Below are 21,599 nucleotides of genomic sequence, written 5' to 3' on the forward strand. Positions count from 1 at the left end.
GACTTTTGTTCCCCACGAAAGCAAAGAAATATTGCGTTTAATATGAGAAGTACTGTTCACAGCTTTTCCGTGCCCCTTAAGAAATATTACAGTGCTGATTTACTGGCCTTCTTCTACCGAGTTGGCCCCAAGGGCGGCTGGGGGTGGTGGGGTGGGGACGGGGCAGTGAGGACAGAGGAGGAGGCGGAGTCAGAGAGCTAAAGTGCCTGTTGCCTGTTTCCAAAGTTCTCTCTTTGCAACAGCAAATTTATCAATCTTTTCATCTGACAATACTTTGAAATATATCATTGTCATCTAGAGTTGTTTGATAGATTATCTGCAGGCACACAGCCTTTTTCAAGGTCAAGTTGAAGATTCTTGTTTGCTGTTTAACTGGGTTGTTTCAAAACTCAGAACAATGCCTGCCTGTTAAATTTTCACTTGTTCTCATGGGGCATTCGAAAGCAAGTTTTCCTATTGACCAGGTCTCTGGACATTTCATCCTCTTGAGCTAAATTCAGCAAACAAGGCTTAGGAATGAAATCAACAGAAGAAGAAATGAGATTTAACTTAGCATTTGCAAATGCCAGAGAGATTAAGTCGTCTTTCATATCTGCTCAAAGTGTGTACTAATTTTTGTCTGCATGTTGCAGGCTGGTTATGGCCAAACACATCTCAACTTTGACTTTATTCCAGTGGGAAGCAGTGAACACACTCCCCTAAACCAGAAAGGCAAAGAAATTGTGGCCACTCTTGTTTTTGCCAGTGCATAACCTGTTGTTCTAAAGGCATTTTAAAATAAAGTCAGCTACTTCTAAGTCACTATGTTTTATAGACATATTTATTTCTATTTTTTAGTGGAAAGACTGGCTTCACAGTTTTCTCTATATCTGCGATGATTGATTTTTTTTATTCAACTAACTTTTATTTACCTTGCAATAATGTTCTGGACCAATGTGATAAATTACAGATATGCAAATTTCTTTCAATGGTGTTGTAAGTGTGTCTAGCTGGAGCTGAATAACTCCTTGCAAGTCAGTCTGTGCGTGCTCAGGACCCCAGGGAGCTGATCAAAGCACCCATTCTCTTTCATCCCCGGTATTCTCCTCCAAACTATTTCGATACAATATGTTTCCATGATGCACTTAATGTGCTAGGGACATAGAACTCATTACAACCTAGCTAGTTCTGCGGACCTCTTTGTTCCGCGGCAGAAAGTCAAAGAAAAAAGGAAAAGCGCTGCCAGTTGCCAGCTTTCTGAAATGCTAAAGCATGCGTCATTTTTCACCAGGTCTCGTCTTGATATCCTCAAAAGACAAACTATGAAACCGGCCTCAGCCCTTTCTGGCATTAATTACACTGCTGTCCAGCCGATCTGTTTTTCCTATTATATGCATTTCTCAGCAGGGATTTTTTTTTTTTTTTTGTAAGACTAATGCAGCTGCAAGTTAAACTATGAATGCATTTTCATCACTATGGGAAAAAAATAAGTAAAAAAGTAAAAAGGCTGCAAAACATACAGCAAAACTTTTGAAGGACTTCTGATGGACAACAGATATAGGGCAGGACCTGGGTGGTTTGCAATTTCTCCCAACCTGAAATTGGCTGAGAGCCTCAGAAATTTCCAATACATCCAGGGTTCTGTGGAGACCTTTATTGTGCCATTTGAAACTTTGCTTTGGTACCCAGATAAATCTTGAAGGTTCAAGTTTCTATTAAAGTTCTGAAATGAAGCAGTTTGATATCACACCCAACCAGGAGGCTGCTTCCAAGGAATTTCTGTCCAGGACGATGGCACAGAGAATACAAATTTTATTTCATTTCCTCTGTTTCTTGTAGGGTTGATTGGTTGGTGGAAATGGCTGGCAGCCAGTTCTGGGAAAGATTCCAGACCTGACTCCGATTAACCCTCTCTGGTGAAACTCTGCTGGAAACCAACTCACCAGCAATTGCCATTAATCTACTTACTAATTAAGCCAATTCATTTCTAAAGGAGAAAAATTCCTTTCTTTAGCCAAACTGATGGGAGGAAATTTGAAAGAAGCGCCAAACTGTGTAACTGTAATTCAGCCAAGGACTGCTAAAACAAGGTGTTGATATATAGCAGCAGATTTAAAACAAGTTTCTAGGGCAACACTCCTTTGGAGACAGCGGCATATAGTGCATAGTAGATGAAGCTCGAATAACGCTCCACAGCGCTATACCATCCCATGTACTTGCGTTGAAAAGAACACGTCTCTCTCCAATTAAATCTTGTTCCTTTTACGCACAAATAAATCACCTCTGCAGCTTTCTTTTGAACTAAAGTATATCAGCTTTATGTGACAACTACCACAAATATATTTCCTGAGACTTAATAAATAACTGTAGAATTCTGTAATCCAGAGCCTACGATTCAGATACAGGCTCTTAACAAGGCCTTACTTGTAGTTAGGGGAATAGAAAGAACCAAGTTGGACATTACGCATGGAAGAAAAGCAAACCCGCCTTTTGGTAAACGGTGTCTGGCATTCCAGCAGAATCTTGGTTTGCATCCTTACCAGGAAGCAAAACTCCAAAGAGTTTCCCTACTTACTAAAGAATTTCTGACAGCCTTTAAGATGCGGCTAGGTGCCCTGTGCCGGGGTAAGATAAGAATGAATCTTGCTTGAGGAAATGTACGATCTCCCTGTAGTCTTCATGACCTACCTTCATGGGGACTAGTTATTGGGTGAGGAGACAGCAAAACAGGTTGATGCTTTTGGTATAGAAAGACTGGATTAGAGAGGGAGTCAAACTTTTTAATTAAAGTCCGTCCCTTCCCACTCTTAGACGCCTGGGCTCTTCTGAGTCCCCGGAGCTCCTGAATGGATGTGGTTGCCCCGGAGGTTCAGTGCGCCCCGCTCACCCAGCACCAGCCAGGGCTTTCCTTAAAGGCGTGGAAAGGAGCGCGCACAAGGCGCGCATTGAGGTCTATTCGAGCGCAGTGCTGGTTAATATACATAATCTGGAGAGATTAAACAATTAGTTTAGAAAATCCTTGGAGATAGTATCCTTTCCGAGGGAGGCACCTTACACCAGGACGGCGAGGCCACTCTTTCTGAGGCCCCGTCTGCGCAGCCCAGGCTTCTGCTGGGTTAATCAACAGTCTCTGCGGGGCTGCTCTGGCGCATGGAGGGCTCCTCCAAGGACTCTTCTTTTGGGGATTCCGACAACTTCCCTAAACGTGAAGAAAGGTGGACAGACATAAACTTTGTTTTACTTATCATACACAGACCACTTCCCACTCTTCCCCCAAAGCATTTTGCGTCATTTTTTTTAGTGGGTCTTCCCAGCCCTGGCCCTAGCTGAGAGCCTCTTCAGGAACCTGGAAGAGAGACGGTGAAGGAGGTAGGGCAGGCAGGCAGATTATCCTTGGCCTTCCAGACAGCGTGTGCCAGCCAAGCTTTGCTCTGAGACAGTCTGGGGCTCTCCGGCAGCCCCAGGCTGCAGGAATGGTCTCAGGTGCCCCTGATAAAGGCCAGTACTCAACATTCTACTTGAAGCCGTTGTAGCAGAATAAAAAAAGTGGGAAGAGTTGTCTGTGTTTGGGCCCAGGGATTTGATTTTTCCAAGTTTTAAATTTCCATTTGCCTTGCAATGGAAATAGACGGGGCCTGTGAAATAGAAAATTATGAATGAGAAGGAAAGGAAACCACATTGGCCCTGGGCTCTGAAACTGGGGAATGGGAAGATGTCCCCACCCCCTAACCTCAACGTTGGGCTCTCTGCCCTGTGGGGAGGAACATTTACCTGGTGCGTAAATTGTGAGGAAAGCGTTGGGGGTCTGAGACAGGAAAGCCACAACATGGGATGTGATGTTCCAGCTTTGAAGGGGAACAAAGGCCCTGGGCTAATCCCAGTGAAAGCCGGGAGCGTGGAGAAGGCAACAAAGCATTGCAGCCTGCGGTCACCGGTAGGTGTCAATGTGGACACTTATAGCCGGGGCAGTGGGAGAGGGGAACACAGAGGAGCCAGGCTGTCATTCCAAGGCTTAACATGAACAAAGATAAAAACGTGACAACCTCGGCTTTCAATGGTTGGGAGGTTCAAAGTGGAGTGCTCCAGAGCCTATCTGGGTCAAGTCTTTTCTGCAGAAGGGCCTTTCTTTTTCTAGTCAAGTATCAACCAGGAAAGCCCCAAGGGCCTTTTCCCAAGGTAACTTTTCTTACTCAAAGCTTTCTTTAAAGTAATGTCCAATGCTACACACTGCCATAAAGATACAGAGCTTGTGAGATGCCTGGAAATAGCATAAAGGGCATTGTTTTCTGCATCCCAGAAACTCCAGGAGGCTGCATTCAGCCCTTATGAACTTGAACAGGCTACCTAAACTTTCTGGATAAGCTTCGTGTATTCTTTTGCACATTTAATGAAAAGAAATGAAATTTCTTTTTATAAAACTATGCATACATGTAGATGAGTCAATGGGTTCCATAATTTAGAAAAGTACTCATCTTACAAAGAAGTTCTGGTAGTACAATGTTGAAGGAATAGTGGAAACTTGCTAGAGTTAAGTATACTGGAGATTTTAGTCTATTAGAAATCAGCAGACGAGGAATTTACCAACAAATAAATGTCCTGAACAATCTGGGAAAGATAATTAAGAATCTTCTACTAATACAACCCATTAACAAAGATTATCTTAGAAAATCAATAAATGGACATGATAAATTATGTTTATATGAATAACTCAGAAACATTGCTTTTTAAAAAATTTTAACACTAAAACCAAAATACAACTCAAAAAATCATAAGGTAATAAAATTCTTATTTTCTTTAGTTGAAGTAAGTCTCCTAAATAATAAAAAAAGGATGTAAATATCCTTAAAAGACTAATGACATTTCACAGGTAATGCAATTTAGAAAGAAACACTTCCATGTTTTCTTTTCTAACAATGTGCATTTTTGTAAACTGCTATAAATTGCAATTCAAAAGCACTGATCTCGCCATCCCCAATCATTTTTTATACTGATCAAATGAATGCAGATACTCCCATTTGGGAGGGGCAACATGACATTTCACTTGGCAGTTCTAAACAGGTCACAGACCTTTCACAGACCCTAAGGCAGTGGGAGGGAGCTCTTTACTAAACCGTGTAACCAAATCAAACCAATGGTTACCCCTTTTCAAAACCAATGGAATGGTTTGCACAATGCTATTCACATAGCAGTACAGAAACTGAAAGGATGGTCATCCAATGGAAATTTCTTTCCTTTTGTTTAAACTTGCAGAGCTCAAAAAGTAATACTTGAGGGAAAACAATTACATGTGCTGTGATAAAAATAATAAAAAATACACATGCATTTTTGTTGGCACCACAGGGCTCAGCTGTAACTGTCCATTTGTATGTATATATATGCACATGTATATATGTATATGCATGTATATTTATTGAAGATGTTGCTTTGTTTGAAATCTTCGGCACAAAGACACAACAATGCTGCCCTGGAGATGACCTATTGCTTTCAAGTTGCTTGAACACATCAGAATTTCCATTGTTAGGGTTGATTAATTGAAACTGATAAGTTACCATGAATAAAGATTGTTTTTCTGTTTAATGTGGTGGGCCTGATTTGGTAAATGCCTCATTCATGTAGCTTTGCAGTGCAGCATATGGGTAAAAGTCATTCAGTATCACAAACATATACAATTTATTATGCTTGTATGGGCACAGCCAAAGCCCTTTCTATTTTAATGACAAAGTTTCAATGAAAAATTTCATTTAAAGAGTCACTAGTTACATGAAGTGTGAGTTTATAATTTATTATTAGAGTTTCTAGCTCTTTCTGTGGATAATTTAAAAGATATAATATTTTAATATAGTTTAAAAAAGATGTATATCTCCAAGTTATGCCTCAGCATTAGTCATTGGAAAAAAAGCAGAATCTATCTTAAATGTTAGCAGACACACATGAAGAGAAAGCACTGTCATCTGATGCCACCTCTGTGCCATACTCTTGATAAAGTTACTACAAATGTTTCATTGCAAGGCCACCAATTACAGCTCACACTGCCCAGTTTACGAGAAAATGCAAAGGAGCTTGTTTGGTGAATAACATGCCAACTTCCTAAAGGCTTTTTTTTTTTTTTTGTCTTAATGAATGAAGTCAGAAGACAACATTTTGAAAATAATTTAGGGACTATCACATGAAAAATCCCAGTGGACTTATTAATGTCCACACAATTTAATTACTGTGAACTTCCTTTACTGGAAAGCTGATGTCACTTTGAAAAGAGTTAACTACATTAAAAATGATCACAAATATTTACCAATAAAGGGAAGGTTGCTAATTTTTTAGAATGACGCTGTACAAAAACTTTTATTTTTTGCCTTTTTCATTTAGGTTGCTCAGGTAGTAATGAAAAATATGAAAGGCATGCTAATGAACTAATGAATCGACTGTACTAAACCATCAAAGAGATAGTTACCGTATTCAGCCTTTAACGTCTCATCAAATAAATTCTCTGGTCATTCATGTCCATGAAACAGTTCAAGTTCATCCAACATTTCTCAATTAAATTAGATGGGTGATTTCAGTTCAGCCCTTCTGGAGAGTAATAAACCACATCGGTCACAGTTGACCACAGCTAGCATGTGTTTAATAAAGGGCTGGATGTCCATTGGAAAGCTAATCAGTACACCGGCACTTGTAAAATTCCCTCCTGCATTTTGAAGTGATAATCTGTATCTAATTTTTAAAGAAAAATTTACTTTCCTTTCACTCTTCTGAGGCCAATTTCTTTTCTGGACCTGAATAGAGATCATTGGTGAAACGGCACCAAATAGCTTTGGTATGTGTACAACAAAAACCCACCTCTGTGTAGAACATAACAAATTATGCAATGTTCACAGATGCGCTTCACATTGTGCCTTTTGTGAGAAAATGAAGGCCCAACTCTATTCCCCACCCCCCTCTTTATGAAAGACCGGGCTGCCAATGCAATCTGTTCTAATCCTAGAGAAAAATAAACACTCTTAATATGGAAGCGTTAGGTAGTTGTCTCTAAAAGGATTTTCATTCGAACGTTTGGTCTATGCAATTTTTGCACGTACGAATTTGAAATTACAAGCAGCTAGTTTTTCTTATGAACAGGTGAACAATTTGGAGCCTAAGGATTGAAATGTTAAATGCTCTCGTAACTCACCTGTAACTCACCTTGACATCTGCATATTTAGTGGAAATGCTGTTATCACACAGTTTCATGCGTGAATTTATAGGTTCCCAAAGAAATGCAGTAATATTTCAGTCACAGTTTTAAAAACATACACACTGAAAATATTTAAAATTTTGTTTCTGTATCTTGGTTTCTGATTATTCTTATGGGAAAAGTGGTTATTAATATATAATTCTGAAGAGCAAGGTAGCGATTTCCGCAGAAATGGTGAAAAATGCAGACAGACCTCAGGAGGCCCACCTTACCTCATGGGACTTCCACAAATCCTGGTCTGACTTTTACAGAATGTGCTAGTCATTGAGTGACTGTCTTAGAACATAAATTCCAGGCACTGAGAAAAATCTCTATATCCTCAGTGCCTCGCCTAGGCCTTTGCTTAGGTTTTCATAAAGTCTGTGGAATGAATGAGTGAATGGATTAACAAAGAGAAGGTAAAACCTAGAAGGCTAAGTAGTGTGTTCCACTTGTTATCCACAGCCTTTGCAGTTCCCTCACACATTGACTCTGGTCTTGGCCCTGTGACTTGCTTTGGCTAATGGGATAAGAGCAAATGTGACCCCAGCGGAGACTTGAACAATCCTTGTGCATTGGAGCCTGCTCTCTTGCTGCTCTGGAGAACCCTGAGAGTGCCATGAAAGCAAGCTTGGCTTAGCCTACTTGATAGTGAGGGACATGAGGTCTGGTTACCCCTGTCACCCCAGCAGACAGCCAGCATAAGTCCATCAATGACCAGCTGAACACAGAAGCTCAGCGAGACCAGGCAGAAGACCCACCACCTAGATGAAGGCATGTGTACAGGCACAGGTGCTTGGAACAGCATGAAACAGCAGGGCACTGCAAGTCATTTGTGACCACTAGGTTAGAAAGCTCACATATGGGAGAGGGAGGGGTTACGAATGGTCTTGTAGGCTAAACTGAAGAACTTGATTTTATCTTGAAAGCCATAGAGATCTGCTGAAGGATTCAACAGGGAATAACAAAGTGTAAAAAAGTGAAGCGAAATATGAAATCCTTAGCAACCTCAACATTTAAGACACAGAGCAGGGGCAAAATTGATCAAGCAGGAGAGCCTGAGAAGGGTGCTCTGAATAGGAGGAGGAGAACCAGGACAGGTTGGTGTCTTGGAGGTCAAGAGGAGAGCGTTTGGAGAATTAAGGTGAAGGATACAATGTTTCAGTTATGTGAGATGAATAAATTCTGAAGATCTAATGTACAGCAGAGTAACTATTTAGCAATACTGTACTGTATACTTGAAATTTGCTAAGAGGGTAGGTAGCTCTTAAGTGTTCTCATCATAAAAGGAGGAGGAAGAGGAGAAGGATGAAAGAAGAAGAGACGGAGAGGAAGAAAATGGTGAAATGATAAATATGCCAGTTAGCTTGACTGTGGTGATCATTTCTCTTAAGTATATATAATTTTTATTTGTCAAGTATATCTCAATAGAGCTATTCACAAAAAAATTAAGGGGCCAGGTGCAGTGGCTCATGCCTGTAATCCCAGCACTTTGGGAGGCCGAGGCATGTGGATCGCTTGAGCTCAGGAGTTCAAGACCAGCCTGGGCAACATGGCAAAATCTTGTCTCTACCAAAAATACAAAAACTTACTGGGCGTGGTGGCGCACACCTGTGGTCCCAGCTGCTCAGGAGGCTGAAGTGGAAGGATCACTTTAGCCCAGGAGGAGGAGGTTGCAGTGAGCCGAGATTGCACCATTGCACTCCAGCTTGGGCAATAGAGCCAGACCTTGGCTAAAAAAAAAAAAAAAAAAAAAAAAGGAATTAAGGAATGCTTAGCAGTAACAAAATCCTGGGGTGAGGTCAAGTGAGATGAGGACTAGAAATTTTATTTGCCATTTGTAAGATTCTGGTGACCCAGTGGATGGCAGTGCTAGAGGGCAATGAAGCCAGGAGGAAAGTGGAGGAAACTGGAGCCAGAGAAGGAGAGCAAGCAGGTTCTGATTTCCCTCAAGCAGGTTCACATCAAAAGGAAGGAGGGGCAGAGGGCAGCTGCTTGCAGAGGAAGCAAAGGAGAGAGTAAGAAAAGGAGGCATGGGCATGTTTATGGAAGAGAGTACTGGACATGGTGGTGTTCTCCAGGACAAATAGGGATATTGTGAGAACATAACCTAAGTTCATGAAATCAGGAGTCTAAATGGAGTTAACCTCAGACTCAATTTTTTTTTCCTTTTTGAGATGAAGTCTTGCCCTGTCACCCAAGCTGGAGTGCAGTGGTGTGATCTTGACTCACTGTAACCTCCATCGCCTGGGTTCAAGTGATCCTCCCACCTCAGCTTCCCAAGTAGCTGGGACCACAAATGCCTGCCACCATGGCCAGCTAATTTTTGTATTTTTAGTAGAGACGGGGTTTCACCATGTTGGACAGGATGGTCTCAAACTCCTGGCCTCAAGTGATCTGCCCAACTCAGCCTCCCAAAGTACTGGGAGGATTACAGGTGTGAGCCACCATGCCTGGCCTCAGACTCAGTTTTATCAAACATATAGAGATCACTTGCTATCTGCTAGGAAAGTGCAGGCACATTTATACACAAGCCTTGTCACATTTGATTCCTTAATGCTAGAACATATGTTGAAGCTTCAAAGAAGTAGCTTTCTAACTGATCAAGGGAACATATCTCTTTTATGGTGGGCACTGAATGGCAGAACTCCTTACCCTAAGTCTTAATACAAACTGAAAACATACTGCCACTGAACTCATTTGGAATAGTGGGTATCAATTATTTAATGTAATGCCAATGAAGTTATTAAATTGTTACCTTGTATTTGCTTGCTAGAGCTGCCATAACAAAGTAGCACAAACTGGGGGCTGAAACCAACAGAAATGAATTGTCTCATAGTTGTGGAGGCTAGGAGTTCAAAATCAAGGTGTCTGAAATTTGTAGGGCCATGCTCCCCCTGAGACCCTGGGTGGAATCCTTCCTTGCCTCCTCCTAGCTTCAGATCGTGGCCACCAATCCTTGGCATTCCTTGGCTTGTGGTTGCATCACTCCAATCTCTGTCTCTGCCATCACATAGTGTCTCCCTGTGTGTCTCTGTCTTCACAGGACGTGTTCCTCTTATGACACTAGTTATATTGAATTGAGTCCACCTGGAAGACCTTGGCTTAATTACATCTGCAGAGACTCTATTTCTAAATAAGATTACATTCATAGGAGCCTGAGATTAAAGTCTCAACATATTTTTGTGAGGCGGTGTGTGTGTGTGTGTGTGTGTGGGGGGGGGGGGTATCACAATTCAACCCGTAACACACACTTTTCCAGAGAAGGCAACTTACTGCCTAGGTTACAGACAGGATACACAAGGAAAAGACTTTTATGAAGATACAACAGAGACTTTAAAAGTGTTCTTTAAAAAAATGACTGGTACTTGATGTATGCTTTGGATATGTGGGATAACAATAACTGCAGTTGTTTACAAAGGTAAAGTGTTCTTAAAATAGATAAAATAAGGTAGAAATCAAATGAAGTGTCCTTTATCCAGAACATGAAGAGAACTGATTTGAACACATAGGATATTTTTGGTGGGGGAAGAAGAGAGAACAATGGTATAGTGAGTTCATGATTTAGGACTCCATATGGGCCTGATAGATAAAATTTAAAAAGAAAAGCAAAAAGACATACTGGGAGAACAAGATAAACATGTCTCTTGTAACGAAATGGTGAAGTAACAAGCCAGCCTGTTAGGAATTGAATTGTGTCTCCCCAAAGATGCTGAAGTCCTAACCTCCAGTACCTATAAATGTGAGCTTATTTAGAAATAGGGTCTTTGCAGATGATCAAATTAAGATGAGGTCATTAGGGTGGACCTTAACCCAGTATGTCTGTGTCCTTATAAAAAGAAGGAATGTGAACGCAGAGATGTAGGTAGAGGGAAGGCAATGTGTAGACACAGGGAGAATGTCATCTACAGGTAAAGGAAACTCAGGGCTACCAGAAGCTAGGAGACGGTCATGGGACAGATTCTCCCTCGCAGTCCTCAGAATAAACCAACCTCACCTTGATTTCAGACTTCCAGCCTCCAGAACTGTGAGAATATTAATTTCTGTGGTTGAAGCCACCTGGTTTGTGGTAGCTTGTTATGGTGGCCTTAGCAAAGGAATACATAGCCCAAACCACACGTCTCTTGTTTCAGCTGCAGAAACCCATCCTGATGGTCAAGAATAAAGCTCATATTTGGTAACAGAAGCTAAATGTGCTTCATGCTGGGTGGAAGAACAAATTCACTTCTTGAAGGCAGAAGCTTTAATGAAAGAAAGTTGAGAAACAACAACAACAACAACAGTTTTTAACCTGGGCTATGGCTTTGTAGTAAGCTATGAGCCTAGGAAGGTTAGAGGTCACAAACTCACTTCATGCAGAGGAACTGAGCTAGACCACCTGCTGGCTTGGAGTCTTTAGGACCCTTCATGTCACAGCAAAGTAGGCAGCCCCAAACTTATAAGAACTGGCTGTAAACTGGGAGTGAGAGAGGCACAAGAAGCAGTCACAGAACTATATTCAGGAAATATTGTATTGAGAGAGAGAGAGAGAGAGAGAGAGAGAGAGAGAGAGAGAGAGAGACGTAAGCATGCAAACCTAAGTTCCAAAATAAACAAAGGACAGAATGCTAGGCAAGACAAAAGCAAGATCAGCTATCAGAACATGAATTCACTCCAGGTAAATTTAAGTTGATGAAACAGTATGACAAAGATTTTAAAACTTATGCTTAGTATGTTCAAAGAGTTCATGTTTAATGATAATTATCATAAAAAAGGAAAAACAAATTATGATACAAGATAACCCAGAGTAAAACAAGAACAGTGGCTTTGAAAAAGAACCAATTAAAATTTTGGAAATAGAAGAGTCACTAAAATGAAACACTAAAACATGGGATAAACTGGCATAGCTAAAGAGAGAATTTGAATGTTGGAAGGTACTATTGAAGAATTCACCCATATACACAACAAAGAAAAATTAGAAAATGTAGATTGGAGGCATGGAGAAGAGATTGAGAGGTGCTCCAGAAGAAATCAGCATAGAAAATGTACAGGCAATATTTGAAAAGGTAGTAGCTGAGAGATTTCTAGAAGTAAAGAAATACATGAATCATCAGATCCAAATTTTATCATGAATATTGATAAATACATCATTGAATACATTGAACACCATAAAGAAAACACTAAATAACTACAAATTATTGGAAAATTGACACCAGACTTCTTATAATCCTAAGTAGAGGCTCAACGGTGGTGATACAAAAGAAAATGTGGAGGAAAGAATAACTGCCAACCTAGAATTCCATGTCTTGCTAAATTACCATCAAAGAGTGAGGTAAAAATTAAGGCAAACAGAATTTACCATCAACAGGCCCTCACAAAGCAAATTATTGAAGTAATGATACTTCTAAACATACACATATATTAAAACATATGCATACATAAACATATACAATAAAAGAAAAGAAACACAGCTTTCAGCTTTCAAATCAGCATGGGGGAAACGATAAAATACAGAAAATGTTATCAACCTAAAAGAAAGCAAGAAAGAATAGAAAGTAAAGCAGAATATCAGAAAATACAAAGATAAGGTAATAAAAATAGTCCAAATATATCAATAATCACAATTGTAAACAATAAATTCACCTGTTAAAAAGTAGATTTTACTAAAGAGAACTAAAAAGAAAAAAGTTATCACTTTAAGTTGCTTAAAAGAGAAAAATGCAATATAAAAGATCATAAAAATATTGAAAAAAATGAAAAAGATACAATGCAAATACTACTAATATGAAAGCTATTATAATGTTATTGATATAAGATACAATAGAATTTAAGACATCAAAGAATTACCAGGGTTAAAGAGGCCAGTGCATGCAACAATCCACCAAGAAAAAATAGGAAGCATTTAACATAGCTTTAAAATGTATAACAAAAAACTGACAGAATTACTAACAGAAACTAATCAATCTTCAGTCATAGAGAGATATTTTTATATTTCTCTTTCAGAAAACATAAGAGATTAGGCATACAATAAATTAGAAGAATAAAGAATGTCTGAACTACCAAATTAATAAGACGAGCTAATAGAAAGGTTACAAGGAAATTAGGAGTCATTAATTAAAGGTAAAGCAATCTGAACGAAGCATATTTAAAAATCTCTGTGTTAAAGAGACAATCATGATGGAATAAAATATTTAGAGTCAAGCAACAGTTAAAGTGCTGTCAAAATTTATGGGATGCAACTAAAACATTTTTAAAGTCATAAATGCATTTATTAATATGTAATAAAAATAAAAAATGAGTAAGCTAGAGGAAAAAACAGAAATATCTTTTAAAAATAGAAGGAAATAGCAGAGAAACACATAAATCCAACAACCAAAAAAAGTAGAGCAAATTAATAAACCAAAAATTAGTACTTTAGAAAAGACTAAAAATCATATAACACTTTGACAGGATTAAGAACAAACAAACGGTAAATATATAAAACAACATCAGGGAGAGGCTGGGTGCAGTGGCTCACGCCCGTAATCCCCAGCACTTAGGGAGGCTAAGTTGGGCAGATCACTTGATGTCAGGAGTTCGACACCAGCCTGGACAACATGGCAAAATCCTGTCTCTACTAAAAATATAAAAATTAGCTGGGCATGGTGGCACGCACCTGTAATCTCAGCTACTTGGGAGGCTGAAGCAGGAGAGTCACTTGAACCTGGGAGGCGGAGATTGCAGTGAGCTGAGATCTTGCCACTGCACTCCAGCCTGGGCGACAGACCAAGACTCTGTCTCAGAAAATAGAAAACATCAGGGGCAGAAAAGGGGCATAATTACAGATATTTTAGAATTAATAGGAGAATACAATGAACAAGTTTATTTCAATGTATCTGAAAATGTAGATCAAATGGATTGTCTAGAAAAAATGTTGCTGCAATTGACTCAATAAAAAAATAGAACACTAACAGCTATTAAAGAAACTAAATTTGTATTCGAAAATCTCTCTCACCTTCACAAAGGACACTAGGTCCAATTTGACAAATTTTTCACACCATCAAAGAAGAGATATCTTTTTTTTTTTTTTGAGACAGAGCCTCACTCTTTTGCCCAGGCTGGAGTGCAGTGGCATGATCTTGGCTCACTGCAACCTCTGCCTCCCATGTTCAAGAGATTCTCCTGCCTCAGCCTCCTGAGTAGCTGGGATTACAGGCGTGCACCACCACACCTGGCTAATTTTTGTATTTTTAGTAGAGATAGGGTTTCACCATGTTGGTCAGGCTGGTCTCAAACTCCTGACCTCATGATCCACCTGCCTCTGCCTCCCAAAGTGTAAGCCACCATGCCCGGCTGAGATATCTATTATATACTAACTTTAATCATCTGACAGAAGAGGTAGAAGAGGGTAATCCTTCCCACTGAGTCGAGTACAGCCTTTATATCCAAACTACATAATGGGAATTCAGGGAAAAAAATTATAGACCAAACTCAGAAGGAAAATTCTAAATAAAAGACCAGAAAATTAAAATTAATTATCAACACAAAAGTTAAGAAATATAGGTATAATTTAACATGAGAAAATGTATTAATGTGTTTCAACATTAACAGATTAAAGGAGAATGACCACAGTTATCAGCTTAACAGGTAAAGGGGGAAAACCAGATAAAGCTTAGCCATCAATTTGTTATAAAAACTTTCAGCGCCTGCTATAGAAGAGAACTTTAGTGACTTGATTGAAGAATAGCTATGACAAACCTACAATAAACATCATACTTCATGATGACACTTTAGAAATTATCCTGTTAGAGAGAGAAACCAAAAAAGGGTGCCACTGACTGCTCTATTACAGTACTGGAAATTCTAGCCAGTGCATTAAGACAGGAAGAAGATATTTGTGAAGCGTGAAACTAGCAAAGAGATAATGTTCAGAATGTATAGACTCCTATAAAAAAGAACCACCCAATTATAGAAAAATCATCTACTTCTAGCACCAAGCAATTCATAGAAGAGGAAACTAAAATGGTTAATAAACATATAAAGAATTATTCTTATTAGTTATCAGGGAATTTCAAAAAAAGAATAAAATGCAAATTCACACCCATCATATCAGCAAAAATTAAAAATATGGCAACTCCAAGTGTTAGTAGGAAAATGGAACAATACAAACTCATAACCTACTGATATGTGTGTAAAGTAGTGTAACCAATTACTAGCATATTCTGACAGTATCTAGTAAAGTTACTAGAACTCAGCAGCTCCTCTTCTAGGTATTTAGTAAACCTCTCACACATATACACTATGAGAAATAGCAGCTATTTATGAATCTAACAAATTGAAAATCTTCTGAATTCCCATCAACAGCAGAATGAATATATTGTAGAATATTCATATTATACAATGGAATATACTATACAGCAGGTAAAATAAATGAACTCAAGCTACATACAGCAAAATACTGTAAATAAATTTCAAAAACATTTATAGGTAAAAATTAAGAACACATACTTCCACCATCATGGATATAATGCTTGAAAACATGCCAAATGATGTTATAAATTATTTGTACATGTATAAGAGTGTGTGTCTCTGTAGTGATATAAAATATGTATGATTGACAAACTCTAAAATCAAGGCAGTGGTTACCTCTGGGGAGAGAAGGAGGAATGATATCAACTCAGTCTTCATTGTCTTACTTTTATGACTCAAGCATGGCAAAATCTAATAGAGCCAGGTGATGTTCAACATATAATTCTCTATATTCCCTTAATATCTGAAATATTTCCTCATAAAAAATTTTCTACATTAACTATGTCTATAAATAAAATTATTTCATCATTTTTGGATGAACTCTAGCTTACATTTGTGTAGAATTTAATAGTAGACAAAATACTTCCTTCCTATAACATCTTTTTTTCCATGTGATTGTTTATTTGAAGATGGGCAACTTTGATTAAAGAAGTTGAACAAGCCAGGAATGTGATAAGCTGAAGATTGAAACCCAGTGACATTTGTAGAAGCCACACTTCATAAATACTACTTTTCTGATCTCGGTTTATTCCCACAATTTCTGAAATGGGGGTTCCTGCAGCTGAAAGGAATATTAATATGGTACCTTTCATATACAAGGATGTCATGTCAAACTCAGTTAAGGGTACACTTGGTAAGCCCATGGATTTGCATGAATCCATGTATAATATCCTGTAACATTTTGCCAGCAGACTCATTCCTAAATTAAAAAGTTAATACCCACTTGTCTCTGCACTAATTAAACACTTTCTCAGTGTTTTGTTACTACCATAATGGCTTATGTGGTTTATAATGCCTCTTAAATGAACACAATATCAGTCTGCAACCAGGCAGCAAGGTTTGGGATGAGATCATTGTCACAGGGTAGAGAGGCTGCTGGAATCCAACTCATGGCTCAACTGGACTAACAACACACACCAGAAACATTCTTACCTTCTGCCTCATGCTTCAGAGAGCTTTAAGCACCAGGTGTAGGTGTGATAAGGAATGCGATTAGTGGTATTTATTAAATGAAATATTGTCTATGGATGCTTAAAAACATATTAGACTGAAATAAGACAGTCCATCAAATTAATAAGGGACATTTTAATAGTTATTAGCCTAAACTTTTTTCTACTAAATTTTTATGATCTTGCAAATTCAAAGTAATTACCTGCCTATTTATTTCAAAGATTAACACTGTATTTTCAAAGCATATGGGTTGCCTTCCCTTTTCATTTCTAACATTTTTCAATCCCAATCTGACCTACGGACAGAGCTTCAGTTACAGAGAGAGCCTCTTATTTTTGTCATCACTTCTCTAATCCAGTTGGTCATCCTAACCAATTTCTATACCATTCGGAATTCACTGTATTTGGAAGGAAAAATTGAGAGACAGGCTGCTGATCTTCCAGGTTTTTATTTGTTTGTGTTGAGACAGTCTTTGTTGCCCAGGCTGAAGTGCAGTGGCGCCATCATGGCACACTGCAGCCTCCACCTCCCTGGGCTCAGGTGATCTTCCCACCTCAGCTTCCCTAGTAGCTGGGACTACAGGTTCACATCACTACACGAGGCTAATTTTTTTTTTTTTTTTTTTTTGTAGAGACGGGGCTTCCCCATGTTGCTCAGGTGGTTCTCAAACCCCTGAGCACAACATATCCACCTGCCTTGGCCTCCCAAAGTATTGGGATTACAGGTGTGAGCCACCACTCCCAGCCCCAGGTTTTAATTTATCATCTAATATGCTAAATTATATGCCTCAAGTATTAATAGAAAATATCTCTAAATAAATGTATAAAAAGCAAGGGAAATTCCTAAGAAAAGGTAGTTGAGAATTAGCTCAAGTCTCAAAGACAGACATGACATGTACAACCTAGAAATATAAAATTTGAATAATAGGTAACTGATGGTAACAAGGGAAGTAATGGAAAAGTTGGTGGCAGTGACATTAACATTTACAGACCCCGTAATACATTATATTTAATAAATCAGGTTAGTCCTGGTATTAACTCACAATTCATTGATTAACTCCTTCTAACATTTTTATGGCCATCAATTATATGTGGAATCTATTGTTTGGATATACATTGTAATATTATAAAATGTGCACTTGAATATGAATCTGAAAACCTTAACAAATTATATCCATTATAGCTGACAGCCTAGAGACAATATATAAAACAATGTTAACACGTATGCCTGAAACTTCTTTTTATCTCTTAACTAACTTACAATTTCTTACGTGATTTTAAAACTTGTTTTTCTATTTAAAACAACAGGGGCAACTGAACTTCACTTTCAAACAATATTTATTTCTATAAATCAGTGCAAAACATACTTATTGAAAATATATCTTGGGTCCAAGGCTTCAAAGGGTAAAAAGAAAGATTTTAAATTATATCTAATATGTTACAATTGTTCTGTCCTTTAAAAACCTTTTCAGATCACCCCCTGGATGATTCTTCCCTAGAAGTCTCAGAGAATTAACAACACAATGTAATCTAGGTTTAAATTTGGGTTTCTCCTGTGTTTCAGATACTGATGTTTGAGCTTTCTCTTCCTGACAAGCCACTTAAAGAGTCACTGTTACTTTGAGGTTTTATCTGTAAGATTCGTGTCTTTTGGGCTCATTAAGAACATTTCCAAAGATTACAATGTCAATAGCACCTAATTACTGGACTGTGAGAAAGGTCTTCTTGAGTACATAAAATCTGTGGCAGTGCACAGTACACAATGGGCAGCTCAGATCCCAAATTTTATCACAAGTAAGTAGCAAACAAATTAATAATGTTACCTGTGCTCTCTTGGATAATTACTACTGCATAAAAACTGCTTTGAAATGTTGCAGATAGTATTGTACCTCATTTTTTTAATCCCCTTAGAGTAACAAGGATTTATTTGTCTCAAACTTTCTATGTTGCATGCACCACTTGACTTTCTTGTTCTGTTTAGAATTTTTAGAACTTGCAACATAACAAAAAATCATTTTTAACCAGCCTAGGAAGGACATATCACCTGATGTAACATTATTTTAAATTATATTTTGTATTTTACTTTACTCTTTTCAAAACATATACTGTATGTTTTGATACTATTGCTAGATTTTATTTTTTACTTATGCCTGGTAGAAAATCAGCTATTAAAGAAGCAGAGGAGGCTGGACACAGTGGTTCATGTCTGTAATCGCTAGCACTTTGAAAGAGTATGTATGACAGCAGGATAGCTTGAGCCCAGGAGTTGGAGACCAGTCTAGATGACAAAGTGAGACCCTGTCTTTACAAAAAATAAAGAAATTAGCTTGATGTGGTGGTGTGTGCCTGTAGTTCCAGCTACTCAGAAGGCTGAGGCAGGAGGATCACCTGGGCCCAGGAATTTGAGACTGCAGTGAGCTATGACTGGACCACTGCACTCCAGCCTGGATGACAGACAAATACCCCATCTCAAGAAAAAAAAAAGCAGTAGAGATTAGCTGTTTTAATTTATTAGCCTACTGTTTAGGGCATCATTGCTTTCACGGGGAGATTAAAATATAGATTTGCAAGGCTTTAGCTTGGGATTATACTATGAACAGCTCAAGAGGACAGGTAGAGAGAGGAATTAGCTAGGTATGTCACATATATGATCTCACTTCATCCTCATAACAAACCTATGAGGTGGGGTTGCCGTGTCTGTTTTACACAACAGGAAGCACTAAGATGAAGGCACCAGTGAGTAAGTAGTCACCTGAGCTTGAAAGCTCTGTCAGCCTCCAAAGCCCAGGTTAGCTCTGTTACACCATGGATTTTCCACACTGTGTTTTATTGAAAATGGGATATTTTCCATGTTGTCATGCATGAATCTTGGGGCAGGTGAAAATAATTGAGTGGGGATTAGCATGGACTCTTAGCCTACACTGGATTTGAATCCAGCTGCTCTACTTCTTTGCAATATAAACCTAACAGTTTACCAACCTCTCTGTATTCAGTGGTCTTATCTGTAAAATGGGGGAAAGCAAGAGTACCCACCTAATAGGATTTTTGTGAGGATTAAAGTAAAAACGTGAAAGGCATTTAGAATATTATGTATATCCACTGAATGATAGTTATACATAATTTCACAAAGTATTTTGTGGTGTGAAAGTATAGCCTAAGAAGTTCAACCTTTGATGCCAATATGAGGATTCTGTAACAGAAACGATAATATTCCATAGGATACTTTAAATAATAATGTTCCTATCCTATTTACATATTTAAAAATGGAATGCATTTTAACTTGAAAGTGTTCGGTTGGGATCTGTTACCAAATAGGTTATAGTAACCCCTTATGTTTTATGTACCTGTATTAGTCCATTCTCATGCTGCTATAAAGAACTACCTGAGACTGGCTAATTCATGGAGAAAAGAGGTTTAATTGACTGACAGTTTCACAGGCTTAACAGGACGCATGGCTAGGAGGTGTCAGGAAACTTACAATCATGGTGGAAGGGGAAGTAAGCATGTCTTACAATGGAGGAGCAGGAGAGAGCGAGAGAGAGAGACAGCGAAGTGCCACACACTTTTAAACCATCAGATCTCATGAGAACTTACTAGCATGAGAAGAGTAAGGGGGAAATCAGCCCCTATAATCCAATCACCTCCCACCAGGCCCCTTCTCCAAATGGACGTGAGATTTGGGTGGGGACACAAATCCAAACCATATCAATATCTAATACCTCTTTAATAGGTATTTTTGAATTAGTGCTTGAAAGCATTAATAATGTATTAAACTATTTCCGGGGGGTCTGAAGAGGGTACTCAACCTTGTAAAGTACTTTCGGAGCTTGGAATAACTTGTTTGGTGAAGATTAGCAATAATCTTGGCTAATTTGGCCCTTTGACTGGCAATAATTGCACCTCAGATAAACCTTATTGGCTGCAATATTGCCACTGTGCAAAGCTATTTTGTCCCTTTAAATGTCCAGCCTGAATGCGTGAAATGCAAGGCATTACCACCAAAGATCGTGCTTTCTAAAGAGAAGATTCATTTACTCCCCAAATTAGAAAATTAGTAATTCAGCTTTCCTCTTAACATGCATTTAGTTGTTTTTATTCAGTAAAAATAGGAAATTTATTTCTAGTAAATTTTGGATTAACTGGAACCAATTAATAAGAAATTTTTGTTAACTGGATTATTTCCGAAAACTATCTTCAGAGGGAAGAACATTACATGTCAAAGCTGTATCTGAGATTGAATACGAGGAAATTTCATGGTTATGTCCACAGGCATCTGGTGTGAGCATTTTATCTTATGCCTCCTCTACAGTGCTGATTAATATTCAGAATTATGAGCCTTAGAGCACACTGTAAAATTATGGATCATAAAACATATTTATATTCAATTTTATTAGTAAGGCAAAAAAGTGAGCTAATAGATTTTAGGAGGATTTTCAGTAGACAGAGCGGAAATAACTCTACATTTTGCATTTTCAGGGCTTAGAAAAGGGAGTGACGGTGTTTGTTTCAGTGGGGCTGCCTTATGTGTCATGTGGCCATCAAAATTTATTTGTGTTACTTCAAATGGACCTTTGCAAAATGGTTTTCTTGGCTAGGGAAAGTCAATTTTCAAGGCAAAATCCTCAATTGAATTTTTAGGGAATGGAACTCTATGGTTAATTAAACTTCCTAAATAAAATTGCAGGCCATAAGTGAATTCATATAGAAGTAGAAAACCAAATACTGCATGTTCTCACTTATAAGAGCTAAACATTGGGTACACAGGGACATAAAGATGGGAATAACAGACACCGGGGTCTCCAAAAGGAGGGAGAGAGGAAGGTAAGGGTTGAAAAACTTCCTATCCCATACTACGTTCACTAATTGGGTGATGAGTTCCATCAAAGCCCAAACCTCAGCATCATGCGATACATCTACACAGCAAATCTGCACATGTACCCCTGGAACCTAAAGTTAAAAAAAATTTCAAGCCAGCT

The 21,599-nt window shown here is 38.5% G+C and overlaps 1 protein-coding gene across 5 annotated transcripts in view; it reads right to left on the reverse strand.

The window, feature by feature from the left end:
- Nucleotides 1-838: 838 nt before the first annotated feature.
- The window catches only part of C10orf67 (chromosome 10 open reading frame 67), a 142,882-nt gene continuing 122,121 nt past the window's right edge, over nt 839-21,599 (reverse strand). For 4 of the 5 annotated variants that reach the window (XM_017016031.2, NM_001365862.2, XM_047424968.1 and 1 more), the window contains one exon: nt 839-3,178. In XM_017016031.2, the coding sequence (XP_016871520.1) occupies nt 3,096-3,178 (83 nt within the window). In that variant the 3' untranslated portion in view covers nt 839-3,095. The remainder of the gene's footprint in view (nt 3,179-21,599) is intronic. The other variant, NM_001371909.1, reaches the window with a different exon arrangement.

The sequence above is a fragment of the Homo sapiens genome, chromosome 10 (genome assembly GCF_000001405.40).
Source record: "Homo sapiens chromosome 10, GRCh38.p14 Primary Assembly".
Lineage (NCBI taxonomy): Eukaryota > Metazoa > Chordata > Mammalia > Primates > Hominidae > Homo > Homo sapiens.